Below are 26847 nucleotides of genomic sequence, written 5' to 3'. Positions count from 1 at the left end.
TATACATAAAGGTTCTTGTGTTCCAGCCCATAATGAATATTAAACGTGATAAAATTACTAGGGTGATAGTTTCAGGAGAATTCTGAAAACACAGTGTCTTTATTTGAGAAGTGTTTTTGGGTATGGTGGCAATGTTGATTTGCCTGTAGCCAAGCAAATATAGATGAAGACTTTAAAATTTGAGAGTAAGAAAGAAAACCATGTATTGTTTCTTTTCTTAAAGATCTGATACCCACAGAATCTTAATAAAATAAGGTAGACATACTATCCTTGATAATGCTGACCATACAATGAAACTTTTAAAAAACTAACTTTGTAAAAGTAAAACCCATATAATGGTTCAAATTCAGAGAACACAAATAGGGGCCTCAGGTCTGCAGTGCCCAGTTCTTTAATTACCTGAGGCATGTGCACGCATACTGGTCTCTACAAAAAAAAAAAAAGAAAAAAAAAAAGCAACAATAGATATGTTTGCAAGCTGCCAACACTTTCGACACGTGACATACAACAAGCATATCTGTACCAAAGAGTGAACTTGGGAAAGTACCTTTAATGAAAGGTAAAACCTTATTTTCTTTTTTTCTAGAAAGATAAAGGGAGACCCAAGCCAAAATAAATCTAAATAGAAGCTGCTAAAATAAATCTAAACAGAAGTCCCTCTAGATGGGGCCAGGAAGAGAGTAAAGTGGCCCCTGCTCTTTACGAGAGAAGCCAAGGCAAGGCAAGATAGAGCACACACGCAGAGCCAGGGCACTTATGGGACCCTATCTGAGTGCACTGTGGTTCATGCTGGAGTTAGCAGAATATCTGCAAATAATGCATTTCTCGTTTTCAAGTAATTTTCCAGTTTTTGTCTGAAATTGTAAACTCCATTGTCCCAATTGCCATGTATGCCACGGTGGTACCGACTGGTGAGCAGCACAAGCACTCTTCGTTATCCTGAGTGCTGCTTCACATCCCTTCACGATCACGAGGCTGTGGAGATAATTCCTAACTCAGCTGTTTTAAATGTAAGGACACGCCTCACTCCTGTGGTTTTCCCGCTGCCTCGCACTGGCAGGGCCCAGGTGTCCGGTGGCTGTGAGTCTTTACTCTGACCACATCCGGACATCCTTGTATGAAATCATAAATAACCAACTAAAGACAGAACAAAGCATCTAAAATTGTATCAAGTTTTAAAATATATGTGAAATACAAATCATAAAACGTGAAAATTTACAGATTATCCACACTAACATCTATCAGCATTTAGTTAAAAATGTCTTGCTGTAGACAACACGTGGCTTTGGTGAAAATCGCAAATGTCAACATAACTAAACACAATAAAAACACAATAAAAGAAAAAGGATTTTCTAAGACTCCCTTCAGCCCCATTCCTTGTCTTTCCTTTTAGTCCTGCTCCTCTTCTCAGTCTGCCTACCTCTTCTATCACTGGCTTCACTACTTTCTACCACCCAAACTTAAAACCTCTAAGGTAACACTAGATTCCTCAGGAGAGCCAGCGCCTCACCAGGTCCTGCCATGATACCTGGCAGGTGTCTCGAGTTCACCTGTTCCTTTCCAAAGCCAACTCTTCCCCTGGAGTACTCTAAGAGCCTCCTCATCTCTGCCCAACCAACAGGAGTAACTTCCAAAAGCCCTGCCTCAGGGAGCCAGGGTGCACCAGTGAAGGATGCTTCCAGGAACTCGCAGTTTAAATTTCTGTGGTTTGGATGGGCAGGGTGACTCACACCTGTAATTCCAGCACTTTGGGAGGCCGAGACGGGTAGATCACCTGAGGTCAGGAGTTTGAGACAAGCCTGGCCAACATGATGAAACCTCGTCTCTACTAAAAATACAAAAAATTAGCTGGGTGTGGTGGCGGGCACCTATAATCCCAGCTACTCAGGAGGCCGAGGCAGGAGAATCGCTTGAACCCAGGAGGTGGAGGTTATGGTGAGCCGAGATCACGCCACTGCACTCCAGCCTGGGCAACAAGGGCGAAACTGTCTCAAAAAAAAAAAAAAAAAAAAAAAAAATTTCTGTGGTTCAGCTCCTGTCTGCAAAATGGGTATAAGAAGAGTATTTACCTCAGCTTTTTTGAGGTAAATACTTTTTTAAGCTCCTCTGAAGCTTAAATAGATATAATGAATATAAAACACAAAGCACCATGCCTGGCACTCAGGAAGTCTTCAAAACATGATAGCTATTTTGATTATGATTAAACGTCACTCTTTGGTTTGAAACCTTTAGTGGCTGCTGACTGCCTGTAGAATAAGTCAATTTTCTAACAAGCATGTTATATATTGTAGCGTAAGAAATACCAGTCTCAACTTAAGGCAAATAATGCACTCGAATCCTAGCTCTCCTCATTAGCTCTGTGAGCCTGGAAATCACTTAACTTCCCTGAGCCTCAGTTTTCACAGCCACCAAATGAGATGACACCACTTTGGGGGAGTTAAAAACTGCGCTGTGTTCAATAGTGTCCCCCTAAAATCTACATGGAACCTTTGACTGTGACCTTTTTTGGAAACAGGGTCTCTGAATATGTAATTAGTTAAGGTAAGGTCATTCTAGGTTAGGGTGTGCCCTAAATCTAGGACAACGGGTGTCCTTAAGAGAAGGCACAGAGACAGACACACAGGGACAATGCCACGTGAGGAGGGAGGCACAGACTGAGGTGATACAGCTGCAGAGCAAAGAAAACCAAGGGCTGCTGGCAACCACCAGAAGCTGGAGAGGCAAGGGAGGGGTCTCTCCTAGAGCCTCTGAAGGGAGCATGGCACTGCCACACTGTCCTTCCAGACTTCTCGTCTCTAGAACTCTAAGAGAACCCATTTCTGTTGTTGTAAGTCACCCAGTTTGTAGGAATTTGTTACAGCAGCCACAGGAAACTAATACAATAGCTGATAATTAATGCTGAAAAATATTTTTCAGCATTATCAGCTATTGTATTAATAACATAGTTACTCCATGTTACACATGAGGAAACAGAGGTTAAGAAGTGTGTGGCCCAAGGTTACACAGTGAAGCTGGCAGGAACTCAAACCCATCTGGTTTTAGCCCATGCCAACAACCACACTGCTGTCATACCCACTCCTGCATAGAATTAAGACAATGTATCGCTTCTGAATTTTCTAGTGGAAAAAAAAAAAGGACATATATAAAATGCTTGGAATACTGCCTATCACGTAGTAAGTACTCAATAAAGAGTAGCCACACCCACTCCCCTAACCTGCTTGTCATCCAAGTCAAGGGTCAGCAAACATTTTCTTTAAGGGCCAGACAGTAAGCATTTTAGGCTTTGCAGGTCAAGAGGGAAAATTGAGGTTATTATGTAGGGACTTATACAACCATTAAACACAGAATCATTTAAAAATACAAAAACCATTCTTAGCTCAAGCACTGTAACAAACAGGCGCCTGGGTGAATCTGGCCCGTGGGCTGTAGTCTGCAGACCCCGCTCCAGGCCATCTCCAGGCATCTCTATTGGTGACCCAGAGACTCTAATCTGCAGGCCATTTTGTACTTCTCCCTATCCCTTACCCTACTCTGCAGGCAAGCAGCCCCTTCTGTGTTCTCCTCCCACCGCCACGGACACTGCCCCCAATAAGATGTTATCACGTCTTGTCTGAATTACTGAATTACTCTCCATTTCACTTAACCCCCAACCACGTTCTACACCTGCCACCAGGACCTGTCCATCTTAAGTGCAGGCCTGGCCATGTCGGCACCCCATTTGATCTTCCGTGTTTCCGCTATCACCTCCAACAGCAGCTGTAAACCCAGCAGCACATCAAAAGCATGTGAGGAGCTTTTCAAAGAACACCAATGTCTAGGCAGCACAGACATTCCGATTCACATCCAGGGTGGGGCCCCATTTTCTGCTGTATCCCCTCAGCGGCTGGTTCTGAGAGGCAGCCAAGACGGATCCCATATGGTTCGGCCCAGACTGCCCTTCCCCGACTCTGCCGGCTTGGCAAACTTCCACTTGTTTTCAAAACTCTTCTTAGACTGAGACTGGCAGAAGCCACCTCTGAACCTTCCTATCCACTGCCCATAATTACTCCTCCTTCTGTCCTACTTCACATCATGGTGCATGTCCACGACTGTGTGTCATACGGTACAGTGACAGCTCCTCACTTCAGTTCCCTTCACTGACCTGAGCACCGGGTACCTTGCTTATCAATTACTGTATGCTTATCAAACCTATCCTAAAGCATTTCAAGATCAGGAGTGCGCTTTCCACCTACACTCCTCCAAAAGTCACACTGTGACCATGTTTCAAAGGGGGAATTCAAATGCTGCCCACTCAAGCCTCTAACACAAACTGACAATTCCTCTCTATCACCTGGACTCCCATGCACTGTCTTATTCGCAGTACTAAGTTAAATCTACCTTTTATTTCAGTCCTCTGTGCACACATTCTACCTCTCTCAAGGAACTGAGTGGGCCTTCCATGAGGGCAAGTACCTACTGCTCTACACATGAGCTCAGTGCTCCGTGTGTATCCAAGTCAAGCAACAAGGTGAATGTATTCTCTGGATCTTGTGCTCTGAATTAAGCAAACGAGACCCCAGTAAACATGTTATAACTAAAACTTACTAATGAGGAAAATGTGTGTGTGTGTGTGTGTGTGTGTGTATGTGCGTGTATGCATGCGTAAGTTTAAACACCAAGAATCAATATAAAGTGAAATCATGAGGTATACAATATTAATTCTCTGGCACTTTAAGCATTTTCAAACTTCCCCTCCCCTCCCCAATGAATTATGTAAAGTCATTTCATAAACACAAAACTCTAAGACTTTTAAATCACTCACATGTTAATGACTTCATCCATAAAATACATCTAGATTCTATCTTTATTTCCTGTACACTTTAGACTGTTATCCATCATCATATAAATGGAAAAACAAAAACATCTTATAAATCTATTTCAAGATCAACCAAGTAGCTACTGAGTGCCTACTTCATTAATTCAGCAAGCATTCATTAAGTACTTGCTATGCATGTATAAAACAGTAGTTAACAGCTATACAACACAGGAACATAAAAACATAACCCACACACTAATAACTGAGCACCGCACAGACAATTATTCACAAAAGGACTACAATCCAAGGGGGATACTCCAAGGAAGGGGACTAGACCTGAAGCTAGAAAGTGCTTGTGTTGGGGTGGGGAGACATGGAGCAGAATGCATGAGCCTGATCTACCTAAAAGGAGAAAACTCAATTCCTGATTGCTGCTCCCCACCCCTGTTCTGACAATTCTTATTGTAGGCCAGGCCAAACAGGCCAAAATTACAGTCACCCTTGATGACTCCCCTTTCTCTTGCATGTCACATCCTTCACAATCCCATCTCTCAGGAAAACCTGTTGATTCTACCTCCAAAATATAGCTGGAGGGGGACCCCCCCCCCCGGCTCCCCGACCACCACCTCTGTTGTCTCCACTCTGGTCCAGGCCACCAGCATCTCTCACCTGGATTACTGGAGTATTTCCTACTAGCTCCCTGCTTCCATCCACCTTTGACTGCCACACGCCATTCTATTCTCATTGCTCTGGACTAAGTCTGTTAATATGTCCAGTTGGATGTCATACCTTGGCTCAAAATCCTGTAATTGCTTCCATCTGACTCGGGCTTTCATTCCAAGTCCTAACAGTGACCTGCAAAGCCTTGCAAATCTGACTTTCCATGACCTCATCTCCTAGGATCCTCTTAACTTCAACCACCTGGCCTTGCTGTTCCTCAACCTGCCTGGCACATGTCCACCCCAGGGCCTTACTTTAGCTAAACCCTCTGCCTGAAAAGCTCTCCCCCGAGATACCTGCTTGGACGACTCTCCTGACTCCAGAGTGATTCAGGTCTCTGCTTAAATCTCACTTTCTCAATGAGACCTACTTTGAGCACTCTTACTAGTACTTCATCCTGCCTCCCATGCCCTCTTTCCCTGCTCTACTGTTTTCTCCTAGCACATACCAAACTCCAACATACATCAAAACTTACCTCCTGTGTTTGTTTTTCATTGAGTGTCTCCACCCTGCTAGACTGCAAGCTCCACAAGGGTGGGGATCTTTGTTTTGGCCACTGATGCAACACTAGCATCTTGAATAGTGCCTGGACGATGATGGGTACATACGTATTTGTTGAATAAAATCTAGTTTATCTTTTAGAGGGTCCTATGAATAAATCTAATGATTTTATCTCCCCTTCCTTCACTGTCCCCTTACCTGCTAAATAACAATTTATTTAGCAGAAGAGGAAAGTCAAATCACAGTGACAGATAAGTCATAAGAAAAGGTACAGAAATGACAAGTGAACTAAAACTCATTCAAATTAAAGTTTAATCAAGCTATAAGATCAATATCAGAGGCTGGGCACGGTGGCTCACACCTGTAATCCCAGCACTTTGGAAGGCCAAGGTGGGTAGATTGCTTGAGGTCAGGAGTTCAAGACCAGCCTGGCCAATATAGTGAAACCCCGTCTCTACTAAAAAAAATAAAAAAGTTAGCCAAGCATGGTGGCACATGCCTGTAATCCCAGTTACTCGGGCGGCTGAGGCAGGAGAATCATTTGAACTCGCGAGGCAGAGGTTGCAGTGAGCCGAGATCGCATCACTGCACTGCAGCCTAGGTGACAGAGCAAGACTCCATCTTTAAAAAACTGTCATAATTTATCTCTTTGGTAGTCCTATTAATTTGGGTCAGAGAGAAGTCGCTCCAGCTGTCTACCATACCACAGCTTCAGAACACCCGGGAACCCTCACCAGGCAGCAGCAGGCCAGGTATTAATCACTTTTACATTCGAAGTTCCTAGTGAGGTAAGCCTGCAATGCGTGATTGCTGATCTGAACTAAACGTGCATAAATGTTCTTTCACATCAACTGATAAGGGCTTTTCATGCTCCCGTAAAACAGTCACATAAGTAGACAGAGAACACTATTAAAATCAGCCTGAAACAATGTCTAAAAGTTTCCTGGATACTTAAGACTACTCTTATTTTTTTAAAAAAGTCAACTAACAAAATAGTACCTAGGAAATAATGAACCTCACTTTTACAGATGAGGAAACTGAAGCTCAGAAACATTAAGTGATCTGCACCAGAACACGTGATTTGGGTTAGAGGGGAGCCAGGAGGAGACAGTTTACATACACTCTTCAATGTGAACAACAACAAACGATTGACTCCAAACAACATCTACATTTATCCCAGTTGCCATTACTTCCGGTGTGCAATACAGGGCGAACTGATTAAAGCAGATATTTAATTGCTAGACTGAAGACTCCTTGAGCTTTTGTACTTTTGCCTACAATTCTGGTGGCAATAGGTTGCCAGGAGGGATGATAAGATTACTGGAATTGTCCTTCAAAGGAGAGCGCCCTTAATTTTTTTTTTTTTTTTAAAGAGACAAGGTCTCACTGTGTTGCTCTGGCTGGATTTGAACTCTTGGGCTCAAGTGATTCTCCTCCCTCAGCCTCTCAAGTAGCTGGTATTAAAGCCATGTGCCACCATGCCTGGTTGTCATCTCCTTTTAAATTCACCCATCTATTTTTCAAAAATAAACATTTAGTGACTAGCTACTATGAACTATAACATTTAATTCTCATGCTGACCTCGTGAGGAAGTGCCCCCACTTGGCCAAAGATAAGTGAGCGTTACGCAGGTTAAAATAGCTTGTCCAAAACTCCTCCATGCCCACACACTGGCCCTCCAGAGCCCATGCTGGTCCCGACAGGCCAGCTCCCACTGCGATGAGGCTCTGCACCCACGGCTTCTTGGCTTGGCATGCTGCCCCTTCACTGGCACAGCTTCCTCAGCAGACCCAGCTCAGTCCCACCCCTTGGTGCAACTCCTGGGGCAGACTGGCCCATCCACCAGGCTCTCAGAATCCTGGCACAAGGAACTGCCGAGGCTGGCTGACCTGTCTCTGTAGCTAGTCAAATAACTCACTTAAGACCAGAGGCCTACCCAGCCCTCCTGCAGACACCGGCAGAGCGGCCAGATTCTAGTCTGTGTTGTATAAATATGAGACATGATACACGTCTGCCTTCCGGATATAATCTTGTCAAACAGAGCTCAGCATTACTCTGCCACTTTATAATCCTTTAGTTAATGATACAGAGCTTCAAAAATATATGGCAAATTAAATCTAACTTGATATTTAAACTTTGATTTAAAAATACATGGGGTAATACAATAATAGTTTTTTATTCAGCCCAAAGAGAAGGAACATATTAAATAGTTCAAGGGAAGTGTTTGTAAGTGAATCACAGAACTTCTCACTTGTTTGGGTTCTGGCATTATGCTTAGAAGTCCTAAGATGGCCAGACAGGACAACATTGCTGAACAAGGAAACCTCATAGGCTCCCTGAGTTACTGGGAGGAGGGTGGGAGTGCAGGTCCTCTGCCTCCCTTCGGTCCCACTGTGGTCGGCATGACTCTGAAGGCTATGTGGCTCAAAAAAGAAGTCTGAGAAACCCCTGACGGTGTGGTATGAGCGGTGCCCACACCCAGTTTCGTGCCCAAGACTGTCCTTGGGCAGTCACATTTATATTTTAACCAAGGAACTGAGTCGTGTATTTCGAAAGCACCAACGGTCACCTTATTTTCACTAAGAAAACACAAACTGGGGCAAAGGGTAAGCCCCAGACCTGTTCTCTTTTTAGAGACATGAGGTCTTTTTAGAGAACAGCTGGGGGTAAATGCAGGGGAGAGGAGAAATGGGTTCAACTAAAGATGGAGTGAAAACAAAAAGAATGAACAGCCTCAATTTCTAGCCCAGAGGTTTCAAAAATAAGGATGAATTTGCAAACAGCCCCAACTTCTTAGAGCTTTTCTCTGTATTCCTGGCACCACCCTTTCAGGGCTATTTTTAGCTACAGGAGAATGGGGAGCAGACAGGGAAGGGTCTCCGTGTGGCCCAGCCTTACCTTGTGTGCCCTGCTGGGACTCCAGCTATCTTTAATTAATGTCTGAAGGACATCAGGCCAACTCTACTAGTGGTAAAAGGAAGCACAATGGTGAAATTCTACCCAGCAAGACTGACAGGCCCACTACTGGTATACCATTCCTGAGGTCCTGGGGCTTTTATTGAAAAAAGGCTCCATCTGGAACATTTAGAGAGCGATGAAGTAGAGTCTGTATATTTAAGAGTACAGAAAACAGGACTGCCTATTTACTTATCTAGTCCTGCCTCCCTGCTTCACACAGCCCAAATCGACAAATCAATTTAACACTATTTTACACCTTTTCTCTAGAAGAAAGACATTTCACTTAAAGGAACTCCCTCTAGCCATTTTTATTTAGTCCAAATTCCTAAACAAGGATGAAACCAGTATTTCTCATAATCTTTTACAGTCTTCCTTTTAGCAATAGTCGCAAGAGGTAAACCTAAATCTTTTAAACCTCAACTTGCTGCCACCTAGATTTAGCTTTATTAAATATTAGAGATTGATCATATCTTTGGAAACAAAACTGAATATGCCAAGAAACTAATAATAAAATATATTCCTCAGTACTACCCAAACTCCTCAACATCAACACTATAAAGGTATACTGCAGACAGGCATGATAAGGAGGGAGAAGATAAAATGCTATCACTTAAGAAAAAAAAAATCAAGACCACAGGGGTTACATGTCAGTGACAAACATCTGCACACTGCCTAGTCAGGGATTGATGAGCTACCTATGAACAAAGAACTTAAAGGACTCCTATTAGGTCAAAGCAAAACACAAATAAAATTCCAATAGATTCTGAATTCCCATCTAATGTACCGCAGACTACAGCAAACTACCGTCTTTCTTCGCTCAACTCCATTAACCTAAATAGTTAGACTCCATCCGTTGATGAAAAAAAATCAAAATTCCAGAATTCTCTTTTGGCTGAAGGAAGTATATCGCTTTCTTCACTTCTGCAGAAAGTATGTACACTAAAACCATTATTAGTTTAAAGAATGGGTTCAGTATTTAGTATAGTCAGGAAAATTTCAGCCCACCAACATTTAAGAGTATTTGAGTTTTCCACCCTCATTTTGCAGCTGGGTTCTCACCAGGATGGCCTCAGACATCCATCCCGTAACCAATGTGTTTTCTGAATGGGACATAAAGGCACACTGCAAGAGATGCTCACGCTACTGAAATGTCACTCAGGTTGAGTGCTTGGGAAATTCAGCAAAGAAGAATCTAGCAGGACTTGCTTCCCCCTTCCCAGTTTTTATTAATTAAGCCTATATGGGAAGGAGGAGGTGCAATGAGATGACCAAGTAAAAATAAAGCTATCAGGAAACTATATTAAAATATAATAATTTGCTGGAGAAACTTACGATGGGGTTGATAGTTAAACTGCAGCCAGCAGTTTAACACAGCACTGTCCAATAGAACTTTCAGCACTGATGGAAAAGTTCTATCATTTCTGTTGACCAATATTCAGTTCCTTAGTCACATTAGCCATATTTCAAGTGTGTAACAGTTGGGGTTGGGGAGGTGACGGAATTGAGATGCTCTTTACAACCACAAGTCCTGAATACGCTCAGAAAGCTTTTATCCTGGCTTATGATGTTTGTCTCATCTATACTCCTAAAAATGGCCTACACTAGCATCCTTGATAAACACTGGTTATAGGCAAATGCTTTTAGCCTTATGTATCGCACACTGTCACTTTAAATGGTAGTATTTTCTAAAGATGTGTCATCCAGGGACACAGGTTCACTGTACATTACACACCAAGGTTACAGCAGAAACAAACTATACTGAATATCAACTGCTGTTCTTTCCAAAGTTCCTAGAGATTATGTTTAGTGCTCTTGAATCTGTTAAGCCACATAAAATGATACTGGTTTTAATGAAGGAAGTTTTTCAAATCCCAAGTGACTAGAGACAAATCCAGTTCTATAATTTAAAAAAGATAAACTAGGCCGGGCATGGTGGTTCACGCTTGTAATCCCAGCACTTCGGGAGGCTGAGCTGGAAGGATTGCTTGAGCCCAAGAGTTAGAGACAAGCCTGGGCAACATAGCAAGACACCTGTCTCTACAAAATAAATAAAGAAGTAAATAAGCTATATATTTTTTGTTTTGGACACAGGGTCTTGCTCTGTCACCCAAGCTGGAGGGCAATGGTTCAATTATGCCTCACTGCAACCTCAAATTAACTCCTAGCCTCAAGCAATCCTCCAGCCTCAGCCTCCCTAGTAGCTAGGACTATAGGTATGAGCCACCATGCCACGCTAACTTCTTTATTTTTTGTAGACAAGGGAGTCTCCCTATGTTGCCCAGGCTGGTCTCGAACTCCTGGCCTTAAGGCAATCCTCCTGCCTCGACCTCCCAAAATGCTGGGATTACAGGCGTGACCCTGGCCATAACCAGATGGTTTAATAGACTAAGTAGACCATTGCTGTAAACTCAAAATAGATATTAGAACACACACCATACCTTTTCTAATATATAATTTCAAAAGCAGGCCATTTGACAAAGCCTGAGTGCATGGTGTGATTGACAGTGAATGAACTGATGCCAACCTAAAGTAGACAGACACCAGCGGCCCAGCACACATGTCCAAGTGTCTGTACTTGGTTCCATCCTTTCAACTGTTCACCAGTAATTTGCACAAACTCACAGAAATGTGTAAAAGGGCAGCCAGCATAGGTCCAGAATGATGTAACACAATGGAATTTAAATGCTAAATCCCTCCATTAAAGGCTCACAAAGGCAGTTCCACCAACACCAGTCAAAAAAGTCAAAGATTCATAACAATTTATGTTTTAAAAAAAGGCATAGGTAATGTAAATACAGGTTTAATACAGGCCAACAGCAATATGATTGCACAAAAAACGAATTCAATATTAGACTGCATTTACAAATCGCAAATTGCCAAGAAAGTTACTACTGTCTACTAAAATTAGTACTGATGTCCAGGGTACTCCCTTTCAGCGGCAGCAACAAGACTGAAAACGTTTGATCATTCTCCCAGCAAGCCCCTTCCCCCATAGGAGTCAGAAGACCAGTCACGCATTTGGAAGGGGAAGGAGAGAAGCAGAGAGGAAGGAAGCGAGACTGCTGTCTCCAAATGTCTGAAGGCGGTCCCAGGGAACAGAAAGACAATCAAGGGAGGCAAACTTCAGTTCAATACAAGAAAAGACATGCCAGAGATCAGGGTTGCTCATAAACGGACTGGCCCACCAGAAAGGCAGTGAGCACTTCACCAGTAAAGGCCAGACCCGCTGAGGAAACAGGGACAGTAGGTTTCCCTGCTCAGGAGTAGGTTTCCCTGCCCAGCCGCCCCTACACTGGACTTTCACAGGCAAGACTGCCTCCCTAACTCCCACACCTCCCCATTCTCTCAATCAAGGCATTATATGAGAATGCACATTAGTAAGAAATGTTAAGACAAGCACTACTGCTATATATTTTTTTAATTTGCAAATTCTGGTGCTTTAGCAAAGGTCAGAGACACTAACAACTATTAATAACTCATGAACTCTGATAGTTGGACAGCTAACTCACTGGGATACCAGCAACGCTGCTCTCAGATCCAATACTCAGATTATATTCATTCTATGTAGTTTCCCTAAACAATTTTCCTAAACAACGTTCTCAATTTCAGTACATTAATAGATTTCAAACTCAAAATGAGTACGCTTTTCCTGAAATTACTTCACTTCGTAAAGGTTGCAGGCAAGAATTCTTTGCAGGAATTTCTTAAACTCAGAGAATTGATCTTAATTCCTCTACCAAAGCAGAGATTGAGAGGTGTGGAAGGGTGAAAGCAGATTTCTATTTACAGACATCCGTTCTTCTCCATTATTTCCTCACTTTTTGAAACTCACCACTAAGTGACAGTGCAGTGTTCAAACAGATACCTAACATGGTTTAGGTCCCCTTCTAATTCTACCCTCGTCTCAAGATTACAGATTTGAGCAGCTCATTACTCAACTATTCAAACTCTAAAATGATAGCACTGTCATCAAAGGTACTCTTTGAACCTTCGAGAAAGAGTACTCATTCCCTAATGCAAGATACTCGAGGAGGAAGCTGCCTGTCGAGCAATCCAACTTACACTCTAGGGAAAAGACCCAGGCGTCCACGTCTCTGCTCGCTTCCTCACCTGTAGAATATGATTCTGAAACCCACAGTGGTACTGCTGTCAAAGTCGCCCCTTTCAGCCTGCACAATACACTCCATATCACCTGCTCTAAGGGCCAGGCTTTACCTTTCTGAACGTGGATGATGTCCGGGAAGTTAGCCAGATGCCCCTGATACAGCGCTAATAGGTCCATGACGGGATCCAGGTCCTGCCTGGGCTGCTCCGCGAAGAGCTCGCCAATGGCGTCATAGGCATCTCCGGTGAAGGCGATAGCCTGGTTCAGGCCCACCGAGAAGGCCTGCTGGTCCAGCTCAAAGGCCTGGCTGAGGCCGCGGAAGGACTGGCCCACCTTCTGATACTCCTTTTTGAAGCCGGTCACCTGCTTGCGCGCGAACTCGTTGGCCGTGTGGTTGAGCTGCAGCGCGCTGTCGTCCATCTTCTTGGTGAAGCACTTGAAGCCGTCGATCTTGCTCTCCACCTCCTGCAGGTCAAGGGCAGCGGCGGGGGGCGTGCTAAGGGTCAGGAAGAAGTTGGCGCCCACCATCTCGTCCTTCTCGGCCTTCCTCTTGCCCTGCTTCCAGGCTTTCTCGTCGGTGCTGCTGGGGCACGTCAGGAAGTGCTGGAAGACGTCGCACTGCGCCAGCACTGGGTGGCTGGCCATGTGGTTCATCCACCAGATCAGGCCCTTCCTGCGCTTAGAGATGAAGTCCTCCTCGAAGCGGCCGGTGGCCTGCTTCTCGGGCAGGTGGGGCACGGAGATGACCGGGAACTTCTCCGCCAGGCGCGCGTACAGCCAGTCGAAGTGCTTGTAGCGCCGATGCACCGGCACCTGCGTGTGCGTGGGCACCAGCTTGTAGGAGATGTAGCTCTTCATGCCCTTGAACTTGGTCTGCTTGGTGGGGTCGTCGATGGTGCACTGGAACGGGTAGGGGTTCTCCTGCCACTCGGGGCCATAGGGCCCCAGCACCACGCACAGCTTGTCCCCGTCCTTCACGAAGCCTGACGCCTCCCCCAGCACGAAGGCCTCCCCGCCGGACTTGACGAAGGTGGAGAAGCGATTGAGGTTGCGGCTCACGGTGGCCGAGCTCTTGGGCCCCGACGGGTGGTGCTGCGGGGGGACCGAGCCGCCGCGGGAACCCAGGGACAGGTCGGAGCGCGTGGACAGGCGGTAGCGGCCGGCTGCGCCCACACCCGCCGAAGACGAGCCGTCGAGGTCCGGGTATGCTCCGCTGCCCAGAGCGCCCGGCTCGTCCGCCACCGTGGAGCTGTCGTCCCACTCGTCGTCCCAGTCATCATCGCTGCCTTGGCTGGCCTGGTAGCCGCCGTAGAGCTGCTGAGGCGACGGCTGCAGGGCGCCCCCGCCGTACGGGAAGCCCGCGCCGGGCGGCTGGAAGGTGCTCGGAGGCGGCGCCTGCTGTGGCTGCAGCAGCGCCTGGAAGGCGTCAGGCGGCGGCTTGAAGGAGGCGGGGGGCGCGACAGGCAGGGGCTCGAAGCCCCCGGGGGGCACATTGGCGTAGCGGGCCGGGGCGCCCGGGCCGCCGTCTCCCGCCGGGCCAGGCTCGGGGGCGCGGATCACCTGCACATAGGAGGCCGGGAAGAGGCCGCGGTCGCCGCGGCTGTTGACCCCCTCGAGCCAGCCCTCGATGTCCTGCTCGCTGCACAGGCTCAGCACCTCGTGCTCTCGCAGCGAGATCTCTCCTGGGTTCTCCGACCTGAAGTCGTACAGCGCCCGGGCGCGCAGCGCCATGGTCCCGGCGCCCCGACTGGCGGTCCCGACTCCCGGCGTCCCGAGCCGAGGCCCACCTGAGGGGCCCGCGGTACTGCTCGAGCCCTGGCGCGCGGACTGGAGCCCCGAAGGCGGCAAACCCACGCTGCCCGGACCAGCCGGTCGCGCCCTCCGCGCGGCTCCGCTCGCAGCGCCTCCACTTCGCAGCGCCGACTGCCGCGCTGGGCCGCCGCAGCCGCCGCCGGTCGGGGGCGGGGCCCGCGGCCTCCCACGTCTCCAGCTGCGCTAATCCACGGCCGAGAGCCCCTTGCCAGGCGAGAGCAAGCGATGGCCGAGCCGCCGAGCCCACCGCCCGCGTCGGCTTTGCGGCGGCCACTGCCCTCTAGTGGCCGGTGCCGCGAAGCCGGGCGCCGTAGTGAGCGCGGCTGAAGGAGGTTTCTACTCCGAAGTGAATTATCTGAGATTTCTTTAGGCTTTTAAGTTAAACATTCTCTAGAAAGTAAGTTAGCATTTGCATGCCTGATAAACGTTCCCACTCTGAGCGCTCAGTGAATGCTCCTAGAATGGCAACCCAGTCATGTAATAAAGCATTTTGCAATGCGAATTAGTGATTGCACTAAGAAAACAGGATGCCTCTGCGGAGGAGCTGTTCACCTACAGAGCAGGCTCCCTTCCCTCTTCTGCTCAAGGAGAGGAGATTGGCAAGAACAAAGTAAGGGCCAGGGAAGGTGCTGTGATTGACAAAATTAGAAGCAAAGGATCATGTAGAGAGGGAGGAGCTGGAGAGTTTCCAGTACAATAAATGCTCACACATTTATTACATGCATGTGTCGCCTATCCTCCCATAGATATATGTAGTGCGGTGAATGAGAGCTCAAACTTCGGAGCCAGGCTTCTGAATTTCAATCTGTGTTCTGACACTACCTAGCTGTATGACCTGGAACAAGGCACTTATATCGTACCTACCTCCGGGGGTTGTTGTGGGGATTCCATCATAAAGTAATCCCTATTTTACAGATGAGGAAAGTGAAACAATATCTGGCAGGGTAAGCAGATTTGAAGGGTTTGTTGCTGCTTTTGCTGCTGTTACTGTTATTTGGGGGAAGCAAAATCCCTGGCCTCTTTCACAAAGGGAATAGGGGTACTAAACTAACAATTGCAGGGTACATGCACCAGGAAGCGTCCCAATGTTCACATTGCCACTCCTAGTAAGAGGTCAGTGACCATCCATCCATCTGTTGTCTCTATGTCTCACTATATTTATATTATTTTTAAGATAAATAGAACAAAAATCACTTCCTGAAATAATCAGCTCCAATCTATCGTTGCCTTGTTTCCTATCTTCCTTTCCTTCAGTGTATAATTTGCCCAAAGCTTTTTCTTCTCTTAATCCCCTCTTATTAAGTCTAGCCTAATTATTCCTTTGAAGACACTTCTAATTGAGGTTCTGCATTCATGTGTCATTAATTTCAGCCTGTCCTCTGACCCTTTTCAAGGAAACCTGGGAAACGGGCCAGAAGAGTGTACAATTATTCTAAGGGCTGTGGTATTGTAAGCATCTTGCACAAAAACACAAACCCACTATACCAGAATCACTCCCACAGTGTTTATCCTAATGCAAAACCTTAATTCAATTCAGTAAGCATATTCTAAATTACATTTTTAGCTGAAAATTCTGGGTTTTGACTATTCTCACAGTAAGCAACAGGGATCATTGAATTTCAATGCCAACATTTCATGTGGTCAGAAACATGAAGTCCACATTAACTAAACCTCTAGAATATGACTCATTTTACTTCTGAAAAGCTAACCTAGAATATGTAAGATAAATAAATTTAGTTTCGCCCCTTCTGTTCGTTTAGTAGTTACTTTTTAGATTAGAGTTAAGTACAGTAACTTTGGGCTTATTTCAGGTGTGAAAATTCCAGGAGTTTAAGGTGATGATTTTTTACAGACTGGTTGAGCTACTCTGTAGAAATGGTGGTTGAGGAATTATTGGGTGTCCAAGGTTGTTTGTAGCACTGGGGCATGGGCGTCTGCAGGTGCTTACTTTGTAGGAGTCCAGTGGGAGGCCTCTGTGCTTGCCGCGCATCAGGCTTCCAGAAGGATGAGGACAGGCTGTCATGATGTTTGGCCCTATGGCCACTAGTGGCAGGAAAACCCCTACCTCTAGAGGGTCTTAGATATGTAGAAAATTGTGCTCCAGTATTAACAACCTATAACTGTTCACTCAGGGAAATAGATACAGTAACACATTTTGTAAAGATTTCTCTAGAAAATGGAGCATATTATTCACAGTTTAGTTTACACAATCATTATAACCACCCATATGCTTCTGTAAAGTTTTTAGGGGACACTAAATGACCCCAAACAATTGCATTTTCTTACTTCCTCCCTTGGCCTGAGAGGCCTTAGATAGCCTGGCCCTTGGCTATCTTTCCAGCCCCCTTTTCCACTGAAAGAAGCCACAGTGGTTGCTTTGCTATTTTTGGGACAAGTCAAGCACGTTTCTTGCTGAAGTTTTTGCCTTCGCTTTTCTCTCTCCCTGGAGCCCTCTTCCCCGGGAGATCCACCATGCCACATCATCGCTTCATTCGGTCAGAACCATGGGGCTTTCCATCCCTCCTTTCTTCTCCTTCCTTGGAGATACCGGAAGACAGAGGGAGCCTGGGTCCCTGAGTCACCGACCCCAATCATACTTTGTGAGAGAAAAATCCTTTGTCCGACTAAGCCACTGAAATTTCAGAGATTGCTGAGGCAGCTGGTACTAATTATGCTAATATAATCTCCCTCCCTCCCTCCCATCCCCTGTCCATCCCACAGTCTCACTTTTCTTTGTAGCAACTATGACCTAAGATAAACACGTCTATACATTAACGGCCTCCCCTATTACAACATAAACCTTTTCAGGGCAATGAGGTTTTCTGAGCACTGAGGATATAGCAATGAACAAAACAGACATGTTAGGCAACCAGTTAGTATTTGTTAGATGAATGAAAGAATGTCCACTTACATCCTCCCTAGATGAAGTCAGCTCTCTCCAGTAGCTCTTATTGTGTCTGGGTCAGCTTGCCTGGTGCCCTCTGCCACCCAGCTGTAACTGTTTCTAAGGCAGCTAAGTAACACTCCTCTTTAAATCAACAACGTTAAAGGTAACACAACCACCCAGAACACCACTGCAAATTTTCAGATTGTTAGAAATTTCACTATTACAGAGTGGGTCATTATTAAAATTAACACTATATTTTACTTGAAAACACTCATGTAATGCATCAAGCATTACACAAATATGTACATATGATTTTAGATGCACTTACACCTTTCCTGTGTTATTTCCTGCCGTATTTTCACACCAACTCATCCATGCATGGAGCAGATATTGCCATCCCCACTATCCCAGATCAGGACAGCCAACTGCAGAGAGGGTCGTCTGCTGAGGTCAGGTGACTGAGGAATGACCCAGCAGCTACTCAGCTGTCCTGAGAACTTCGGTTCACTGTGTCACAGGTCTGCACTCTGCTGGCGCCTCAAAACTACTACTATTATTAAACAGCATCCAGGCCCAGCACAGTGGCTCACACCTACATATATATGTTTTATGTATATAAAAATTTATATATACAATTTTTTATTATTTATATATTATATATTATATATATTTTATATATAATATATAAAAATTTATATATACTATATTAAAATTTCTATATAATATATAAATTTATATATATCATATATATTTATATAATATATAAATTTATACATATGATATATATATTTATATATTATATAAATATATATATCATATATATTTATATATTATATAAATTTATATATATCATATATATTTATATATTATATAAATTTATATATATCATATATATTTATATATTATATAAATTTATATATATCATATATATTTATATATTATATAAATTTATATATATCATATATATTTATATATTATATAAATTTATATATATCATATATATTTATATATTATATAAATTTATATATATCATATATATTTATATATTATATAAATTTATATATATCATATATATTTATATATTATATAAATTTATATATATCATATATATTTATATATTATATAAATTTATATATATCATATATATTTATATATTATATATTTATATATTATATAAATTTATATATATCATATATATTTATATATTATATATTTATATATTATATAAATTTATATAATATAAAAGTTTATATATTATATATAAATATATATTATATATAAATTTATATATTATATAAAAATATATAATATATATAAATTTATATATTATATATAAATATATAATATATAAATTTATATATTATATATAAATATATATTATATATAAATTTATATATAAATAAAAATTATATAGGTATACATTTTATACATATGCGTGTATATATGTGTACACACACATGCGTGTGTATATGTGTGTACACACACATATGCACACACGTATATGTAATATTGTTTTATACTTTATATATTTTATATATTATAAATAAAGTAAAATGAAGAGCAACAGCCATTTACTAGAAGGTTTGTAGCTAGGCTTAATAGAAAGCCTGGCTCAAGCCTGCACTCCCAGCACTTTGGGAGGCCAAGGTGAGTGAATCACTTGAGGTCAAGAGTTCGAGAACAGCCTGGCCAACATGGCAAAACCCTGCCTCTACTAAAAATACAAAAAAATTAGCCATGCATGGTGGCACACACCTGTAGTCCCAGCTACTCAGGAGGCTGAGGCACGAGGATCGCTTGAACCCAGGAGGTGGAGGTTACAGTGAGCCAAGATCATGCCACTGCACTCCAGCCTAGGCAACAGAACAAGACTCTGTCTCAAAAAATAAACAAATAAACAAATAAATAAAAATTAAAAATAAAAAAATTAGCCAGGCATGGTGGTGAACACCTGTAATCCCAGCTACTTGAGAGGTTGAGGCATGAGGATTGCTTGAACCTGGGAGTCAGAGGTTGCAGTGAGCTGAGATGATGCCACTGCACTCCAGCCTCAAAGAAAAAAAGAAGAAAAGAAAAAGAAAGAAAGAAGGAAGGAAGGAAGGAAGGAAGGGAAGGAAGGAAGGAAGGAAGGAAGGAAGGAAGGAAGGAAGGGAAGGAAGGAAGGAAAGAAGGAAGGAAGGCAAGCCTGAATTCAAAAACAGTGCTGCGTCTGAAAGGAAGGCTATTTACTGTGTCTGTTTACTTGGTTTCACCTGGAGTTGAAACTCCATGAAGGCAGGAGGTTTGGTTTGCTTTGTTCACTACTGCATACTAAATTAAATATTTGTCAAATGAATGAATGAAACTTTTCCAAACCTTAATTTCTTAGCAAATGTGGGAATACAAATAATCTACTTCATTGGGTAATATCAGGACTTAATGAAGTAATAAGTTTGTATGGTATTTTACAGTGCTCAAGATGAAAAGTAATTTTAATATAAAAATATAGTCCAATTATTAAAATCAGGTCCCCAACTTGTGCAATTGGTTCTTGTAGTGAATACTTAGCATGGATAAATTTTCATATTTGGATTTAATGATGTTAGCTGCTTCTACAGGGGTATTTATAGCTGAGAATGCATAAGTACCTACAAAATTATTCACCCCTATTGAAGAAATCTCCCATTGTTTTTATTACTGGACCTCCTTCATACATAGCTCATTTCTGCTTCAAAATCAAATCAAGGACCTGATTCAATATTTATTACCTGACACTTCCCTTAATACATTTTCCTCTTTTCTCCAATGTGTATTTAACTAAATTAACTCAGCTTTTGATTGATGAGTGTGTTCTTGTAGATATATTTCGCCATTTGCTCTGCAACTGTCCCATTTTGTTTTGTTTTGTTTTTTGGAGACAGGGTCTCACTTTGTAGCCCAAGCCAGGAACTGGAGTGCAGTGGCATGAACATGGCTCACTGCAGCCTCGACCTCCCAGGCTTAAGCAGTCCTCCCACCTCAGCCTCCCCAGTAGCTGGGACTATAGGCACACGCCACTGTGCCCAGCTAATTTTTGTATTTTTTGTAGAGACAGGGTTTCGACATGTTGCCCAGGCTGGTCTCTAACTCCTGGTCTCAAGCAATCCACCTGCCTTGGCCTCCCAAAGTGTTACGATTACAAGCATGAACCACTGCACTGGCTCACATTTTTATAGTTTTACAAATCAACATTCCTCAATGTCTTGTACCAGAAACCACAAATTGTCAAACCAAGACCAGAATCTAGCCTAATGTTTAATGTGACCAATATTTAAAATGTAGGAGATTTCTCATTCTAAAATATTGATTCTGACTTCTTTGGGGGAAAAAATACAATCAGTATTAACTGATTAAAATAATGATCCAATTTTTTTTAAAAACAGTCAAAAAAGAATCCAGGCCAGGGCTGGGCGTGGTGGCTCACGCCTGGAATCCCTGCACTTTGGGAGGCTGAGGCGGGCGTATCACGAGGTCAGGAGATTGAGACCATCCTGGCTAACACGGTGAAACCCCATCTCTACTAAAAATACAAAAATTAGCGGGGTGTGGGGGTGGGCGCCTGTAGTCCCAGATACTAGGGAGGCTGAGGCAGGAGAATGGCATAAACCCGGGAGGCGGAGCTTGCAGTGAGCTGAGACTGAGCCACTGCACTCCAGCCTGGACGACAGAGCGAGACTCCATCTCAAAGAAAAAAAAAAAAAGAAGAATCCAGGTCAGGCACGATGGCTCATGCCTGTAATCCCAGCACTTTGGGAGGCTGAGGTGCAGATCACTTGAGGTCAGGAGTTCAAGACCAGCCTGGCCAACATAGTGAAACCCAGTCTCCACTAAAAATACAAAAATTAGCCAGGTGTGTGGCACACACCTGTAGTCCCAGTTACTGGGGAGGCTGAGGTAGGAGAATCACTTGAACCCGGGAGACAGAGGCTTCAGTGAGCTGAGATCATGCCACTGCACTCCAGCCTGGGTAACAGAATGAGAGTCCATCTCAAAAAAGAAAAAAAAATCCAATCAGAAGGTCTGGCCACACAGGGCCAGCATTTCTGCATAGCAATTATTAGCTTGTTCCCTTTAGACAGAGCATTTCCTCTCTGTCTGTTCACCACAGTCCCCACTACTTTTTGGTGCCTTATACCTAAGACTACCTTCCTTCACTGTCCCTGTAGGCGTAAGAGTTTGCCCTGTACACATCTTCTGGGCCAAAGAGCCATCACCTTGGGGGCATCACCATGGGTAATTCACATCCCTCTCTGCCACGGCCCTCGGGATATCTAGACACTGCTCTCAGAATGTCTGTCAGCATCCCTCCCTCCCTCCCTCCCTTCCTTCCTTCCCTCTTTCCTTTCATCAAACAAGTAGGCACCAAAATCTAAAGAAGATACCTGCTTTATCCCTTAAGGAGCTGGTGGGTGAAACTGACATGGAAACCATATGCTATGTGGTATGGTTAAGGTGTATGCAGCATTAAAGCTAACTAAATATGGCCTGAGAAGGACTCCGTATTTCTTTTATTTTTTATTTTTTCTTTCTTTTCTTTCTTTCTTTTTCTTTTCTTTTTTTTTTTTTTGAGACGAAATCTCACTCTGTTGCCCAAGCTGGAGTGCAGTGGCATGATCTCAGCTCACTGCAACCTCCACCTCCCAGGTTCAAGCAATTCTACTGCCTCAGCCTCCCGAGTAGCTGGGACTACAGGCACGCACCACCATGCCTGGCTAATTTTTGTATTTTTAGTAGAGACGGAGTTTCACTATGTTGGCCAGGCTGGTCTCAAACTCCAGACCTCATGATCCGCCCGCCTGGGCATCCCAAAGTGCTAGGATTACAGGCATGAGCCACCCGCACCCAGCCAGGACTCTGTACTTCTATATTTGAGTCCTTGTGGATGAACTGTAACCTAGCTTAATAATCAGACAAAATTGAAAACCTAACTTAGTTGTATGCACCTGTAACAACAGCTGAGTTTTGGCCAATCCCAGAAGCCATACTGCAACCACTCAGACTGCTAAGTGTTCAAACTGTGTTCAAATAAGGCAAACACCAAGCAGTAACCAATCTCTGTGGCTATCTTTATGGCAGTGATATTCAGGGTTGTTCCAATGTTTCATGTTGGAAGTGATCAAATGTGTAGTAGCTATAGGAAACATTAAGCATATAAATGTGGACATTAGCCAATCTGGGAGAAGAATGGAAGGAGGTGTTTGGGGATAAATATAGTGAGTTTCAGTTCCTGGATATGGAAGTAGAAAGAATCTTCTGTTCTCATCCTTTACTTTGGAAAAGAAAAAAAAATCACTTGTAAAGTTAGAATATGGAGGTCAGGAAGAGAAGAGGGAAAAAAAAAAAGAAAGAAGCACCCAGTTGTTCTAGCAAAGGAGCCTTGTACTCTTACTTTCCTTATTGCTAATGATGGTGGCTCTCCCTGGAGCAGCTGTGTCTCTTGGATGAATTCTATTGAGCCCTTTATCTCACTAATATATCAGAACTCCATTCATCCACCTTTGCCTGGAGGTCAGAAACTACAGAAGAATCTAAAATTCAGAGAAGTAAATCAGCAATCAAACCTAAAAGAATAAACAATCAAACAAAACCTAAATGAAAATTTACTAAAGATTAATTTTCACAATATATTGATACCCATTGAATAGCAAGTAACTAATGGGTCCCTAAGACAAGGAAATCACTTGGAAGAGAAATGAATATGTATATAATAGAATATTTATCACATTAAGAACTTAATCCGCATAGTATTCTAGGAGAGTATAGCAAGTTACAAAATAGATTTTTAAAGGGTAAAACTATACAAATCCAGTAATCTAAGTTGCATGAGGTGGGTACCAGCAGGACTACTATTTAAATATAGAGAGGGGCACTTAAATAGGAGAGATAAATAGCATTTTAAAGAAGCCATTGCCTGGGCACAGTGGCTCATGCCTGTAATCCCAGCACTTTGGGAGACCAAGGTGAGAGAATCAGAGGCTGAGGAGTTTGAGACCAGCCTGGGTATCATAATGACACCCCATCTCTACAAAAAATTTTTAAAAATCCACCAGGTGTAGTGGCACCCACCTGTAGTCCCAGCTACTTAGTAGGCTGAGGTGGGAGGATCGCCTGAGCCTGGGAGGTCAAGGCTGCAGTGAGCCATGTTTGTGCCACTGCACTTTCCTGGACAACAGAGCAACACCCTGACTCAAAACAAAACAAAGCAAAACAAAACAAAACAAAACAACAAACAGAAGCCATTACATTAGTTCAAATGCCCTCATTGGATATAAGGACTAAACTCTTGATTTTTTATCTTGCCCAAATTCCTACCTAAGGGGTCTGGGGAGTCATAACCTACAAATCATAAATTCACATCAGATGGGTTTTAACTCTATATATCATGACTTACTTTCCAAACTGACTCTGGCATCATAACATTTTGAGACAAGGAAGAAAATCAAAATATTTTACCCCAAAACATGTTTCTTTGCCGTATTTTGAAATTGTCCTGCAAAGCTGTTCTTTGTGGGGGAAAGTTTGGATCTGTAAAGAATCTCTTAACATAGCTAGATCTTTTTATTGCAGATCCTCCCAATCCTGAAGAGACTAAGATCTGAATAGGAAATATTTGTCATCTATCATCTCTTAGGGCAGCCACTATAAGATTTCAAAAGAACTTTGGTCTCCACAGTCTTTATCTTAACCTGAACATTCCCTTTCTATCAATCCCAGGTCTTTAGATAAACTCAACCAATTGTCAATCAGAAAATGTTTAAATTCACCATAGCCTGGAAGCCTCGGCTTTGAGTTGTCCTGCCTTTCTGGAACAAACCAATGTATTTCTTAAATGTGTGTGGTTGATGTCTCATGCCTCTCTAAAATGTGTAAAACCAAGCTGTGCCCCAACCACCTTGGACACATGTTTTCAGGCCCTCCTGAGGGCTGTGTCATGGGCCATGGTCACTCATATTTGGCGCAAAATAAATCTCTTCAAATATGTTACAGAGTTCAACTCTTTTTATTGACAGGTAACTAATGTGTGGGCCTGGTGGAGGGGTAGGGAGTGGTAGGGAGGTGGGGGCCTTTGGTGAACTGAGGAGCACTTGCCCCATTTAAAGGGGACACTTGGACTGAACCCCTGCCCCTATGGTTTTATGCAGGAATATGGACCTTGTGTTGTCATATAGCTTGATATTCCTAAGAAGCCAGAAATTCTGTTTGTGTATAAAAAAGTAGTATTAAAAACATTATGTGCGCCAGCCAACATGTATCTAATGGCAAGATTTGCCCTCCTGGCCTCCAGCATGCCACAGCCGTTTTTGAAAGACCAAGTTATTTCCTACCTGTCTTAATCCTGATTGTAGAAAAAATACCTGAGATCTGGGAGGTGATGCTGTGTAGCATGCACTATAACTCGCTTGGAGATTATGTTTTCTTTGTTCTTGAGACATTCTCACTCTGTCACCCGAGCTGGAGTGCACTGGTGCCATCTCAGCTCACTGCAACCTCTGCCTCCCTGGTTCAAATGATTCTCATGCCTCAGCCTCCCAAGCAGCTGGGACTACAGGTGCATGCCACCATGCCCAGCTAATTTTTGTAATTTTAGTAGAGATGGGGTTTCACCATGTTGGCCAGGCTGGTCTTGAACTCCTAACCTAAAGTGACCTGCCCACCTCAGTCTCCCAAAGTGCTGGGATTATAGGAGTGAGCCACCACGCCCCACCTGTCTTGGATGTTTTGAAAGATGTTTCAGGAGTTCAGGCCATAGGCGTGGCAAACACTTGGACAGATTTTCCCCAGAGCAGTTGTAGACAAACCCCTCCTTTAGAGAAAATCTCTGTTCTCTTTAACATTAATTCAAATGTTCCTTCTCATAACAGGAAAAGATGGGTTCCCTGTGCTTAAACATTTTCCCCATTTCATTATATGTATATTAGCCAAACTAAGAGAACATTTTTATAAACATTAGAGGAGCAGTGGAGAAATGGATCAGATGATCTTTCAATGGCATAGATAGCACTGATGTCAACGAATTTCACATAAAGATCTACATATGCACCAGGCATTATTGTCACAATTTTCCAAACCAACTCAAAAATATACCTAGAGAAGCCCAGGTGCAGTGGCTCAATCCTGTAATCCCAGCACTTTGGGAGGCTGAGGCAGGTGGATCACCTGAGGTTAGGAGTTCAAGACTAGCCCGGGCAACATGGTGAAACCCCGTCTCTACAAAAATACAAAAATTAGCCGGGCATGGTGGTAGATGCCTATAATCCCAGCTACTAGGGAGGCTGAGGCAGGAGAATCACTGGAACCTGGGAGGCAGAAGTTGCAGTGAGCCAAGATTGCACCTGGGCAATAGAGCAAGACTCCATCTCAAAAAAATAAAATAAATAAAATACTCACACACTTATATACACACACACACACATATACCTAGAGAACAATTAACCAGGGTATCACTCCCACCCCCAGAGATTCTGCTTTCATATAAAATAAATCAAAAAGATTAAAATTCAGTACCATCATATAGTATATGAAGGACATTAAAAAGTTTTAATTAAAATTCAGGAAATAAAACATTTTAAGTGAACATGGGGAGTTTCCTTTTTAAAAAATCTTTTTAAAGAAATTTTATCAGCCTGGTACAGTGGCTCATGCCCGTAATCCCAGCACTTTGGGAGGCCGAGGCAGGTGGATCACCTGAGGTCAGGAGTTTGAGACCAGCCTGGCCAACATGGTGAAAACCGATCTCTACTAAAAATACAAAAATTAGCTGGGCATGGTGGTGTGTGCCTGTAGTTTCAGCTACTCAAGAGGCTGAGGCAGGAGAATTGCTTGAACCCAGGAGGCAGAATTTGGAGCTTTTTCCAAAAACAAACTCCCTTCTTGCCTGGGGACCAGACTGCCTTTGTAGGACTAACAAACTAGCCACAAGATTTGCAACTTCCCCAATTACTCCTGCAGATAACATCACTATTGTTGAACTGAAGATTGGCCTTTTGAGATATATTTTCAGGTTTTTAACCTTTCTGATGACTGATGGCTCCATTCAGACCCACCAACCTG

The 26847-nt window shown here is 43.4% G+C and overlaps 1 protein-coding gene across 7 annotated transcripts in view, besides 4 other annotated features; it reads right to left on the bottom strand.

Moving 5' to 3' along the window:
- SNX18 (sorting nexin 18) overlaps positions 1-15004 on the bottom strand; it is a 130247-nt gene extending 115243 nt beyond the window's left edge. For 4 of the 7 annotated variants that reach the window (XR_007058577.1, XR_001741987.2, XM_017008997.2 and 1 more), the window contains exon 1: positions 13190-15004. Coding sequence is in view for 5 of the 7 variants with exons in the window: in XM_017008997.2 (XP_016864486.1) it covers positions 13190-14810 (1621 nt within the window). In the remaining 2 variants the exon portion in view is untranslated. Of the gene's footprint in view, positions 1-11716 lie in introns of those variants that run through there. The other 3 variants (NM_001145427.2, XM_047416679.1, NM_052870.4) reach the window with 3 other exon arrangements.
- Positions 13152-14096: an enhancer, noted in NCBI's record as "H3K27ac-H3K4me1 hESC enhancer chr5:53814497-53815441 (GRCh37/hg19 assembly coordinates)". NCBI's record gives its function as "activates a minimal SCP1, AML or CMV promoter by ChIP-STARR-seq in naive H9 embryonic stem cells {active_cell/tissue: H9 hESC(naive)}" and the evidence as "EXISTENCE:reporter gene assay evidence [ECO:0000049][PMID:30033119]".
- Positions 14569-15128: a silencer, noted in NCBI's record as "silent region_16008". NCBI's record gives its function as "represses an Ori minimal core promoter by ATAC-STARR-seq in GM12878 lymphoblastoid cells {active_cell/tissue: GM12878}" and the evidence as "EXISTENCE:reporter gene assay evidence [ECO:0000049][PMID:35858748]".
- Positions 14569-15250: a biological region, named in NCBI's record as "ReSE screen-validated silencer GRCh37_chr5:53813343-53813584".
- Positions 15009-15250: a silencer, noted in NCBI's record as "fragment chr5:53813343-53813584 (GRCh37/hg19 assembly coordinates)". NCBI's record gives its function as "represses an EF-1alpha promoter that drives an FKBP-Casp9 reporter gene in an ReSE screen in HepG2 liver carcinoma cells and K562 erythroleukemia cells {active_cell/tissue: HepG2 | K562}" and the evidence as "EXISTENCE:reporter gene assay evidence [ECO:0000049][PMID:32094911]".

Source organism: Homo sapiens, chromosome 5 (assembly GCF_000001405.40).
Source record: "Homo sapiens chromosome 5, GRCh38.p14 Primary Assembly".
Lineage (NCBI taxonomy): Eukaryota > Metazoa > Chordata > Mammalia > Primates > Hominidae > Homo > Homo sapiens.
This window is presented reverse-complemented; position numbering and strand designations above follow the sequence as displayed.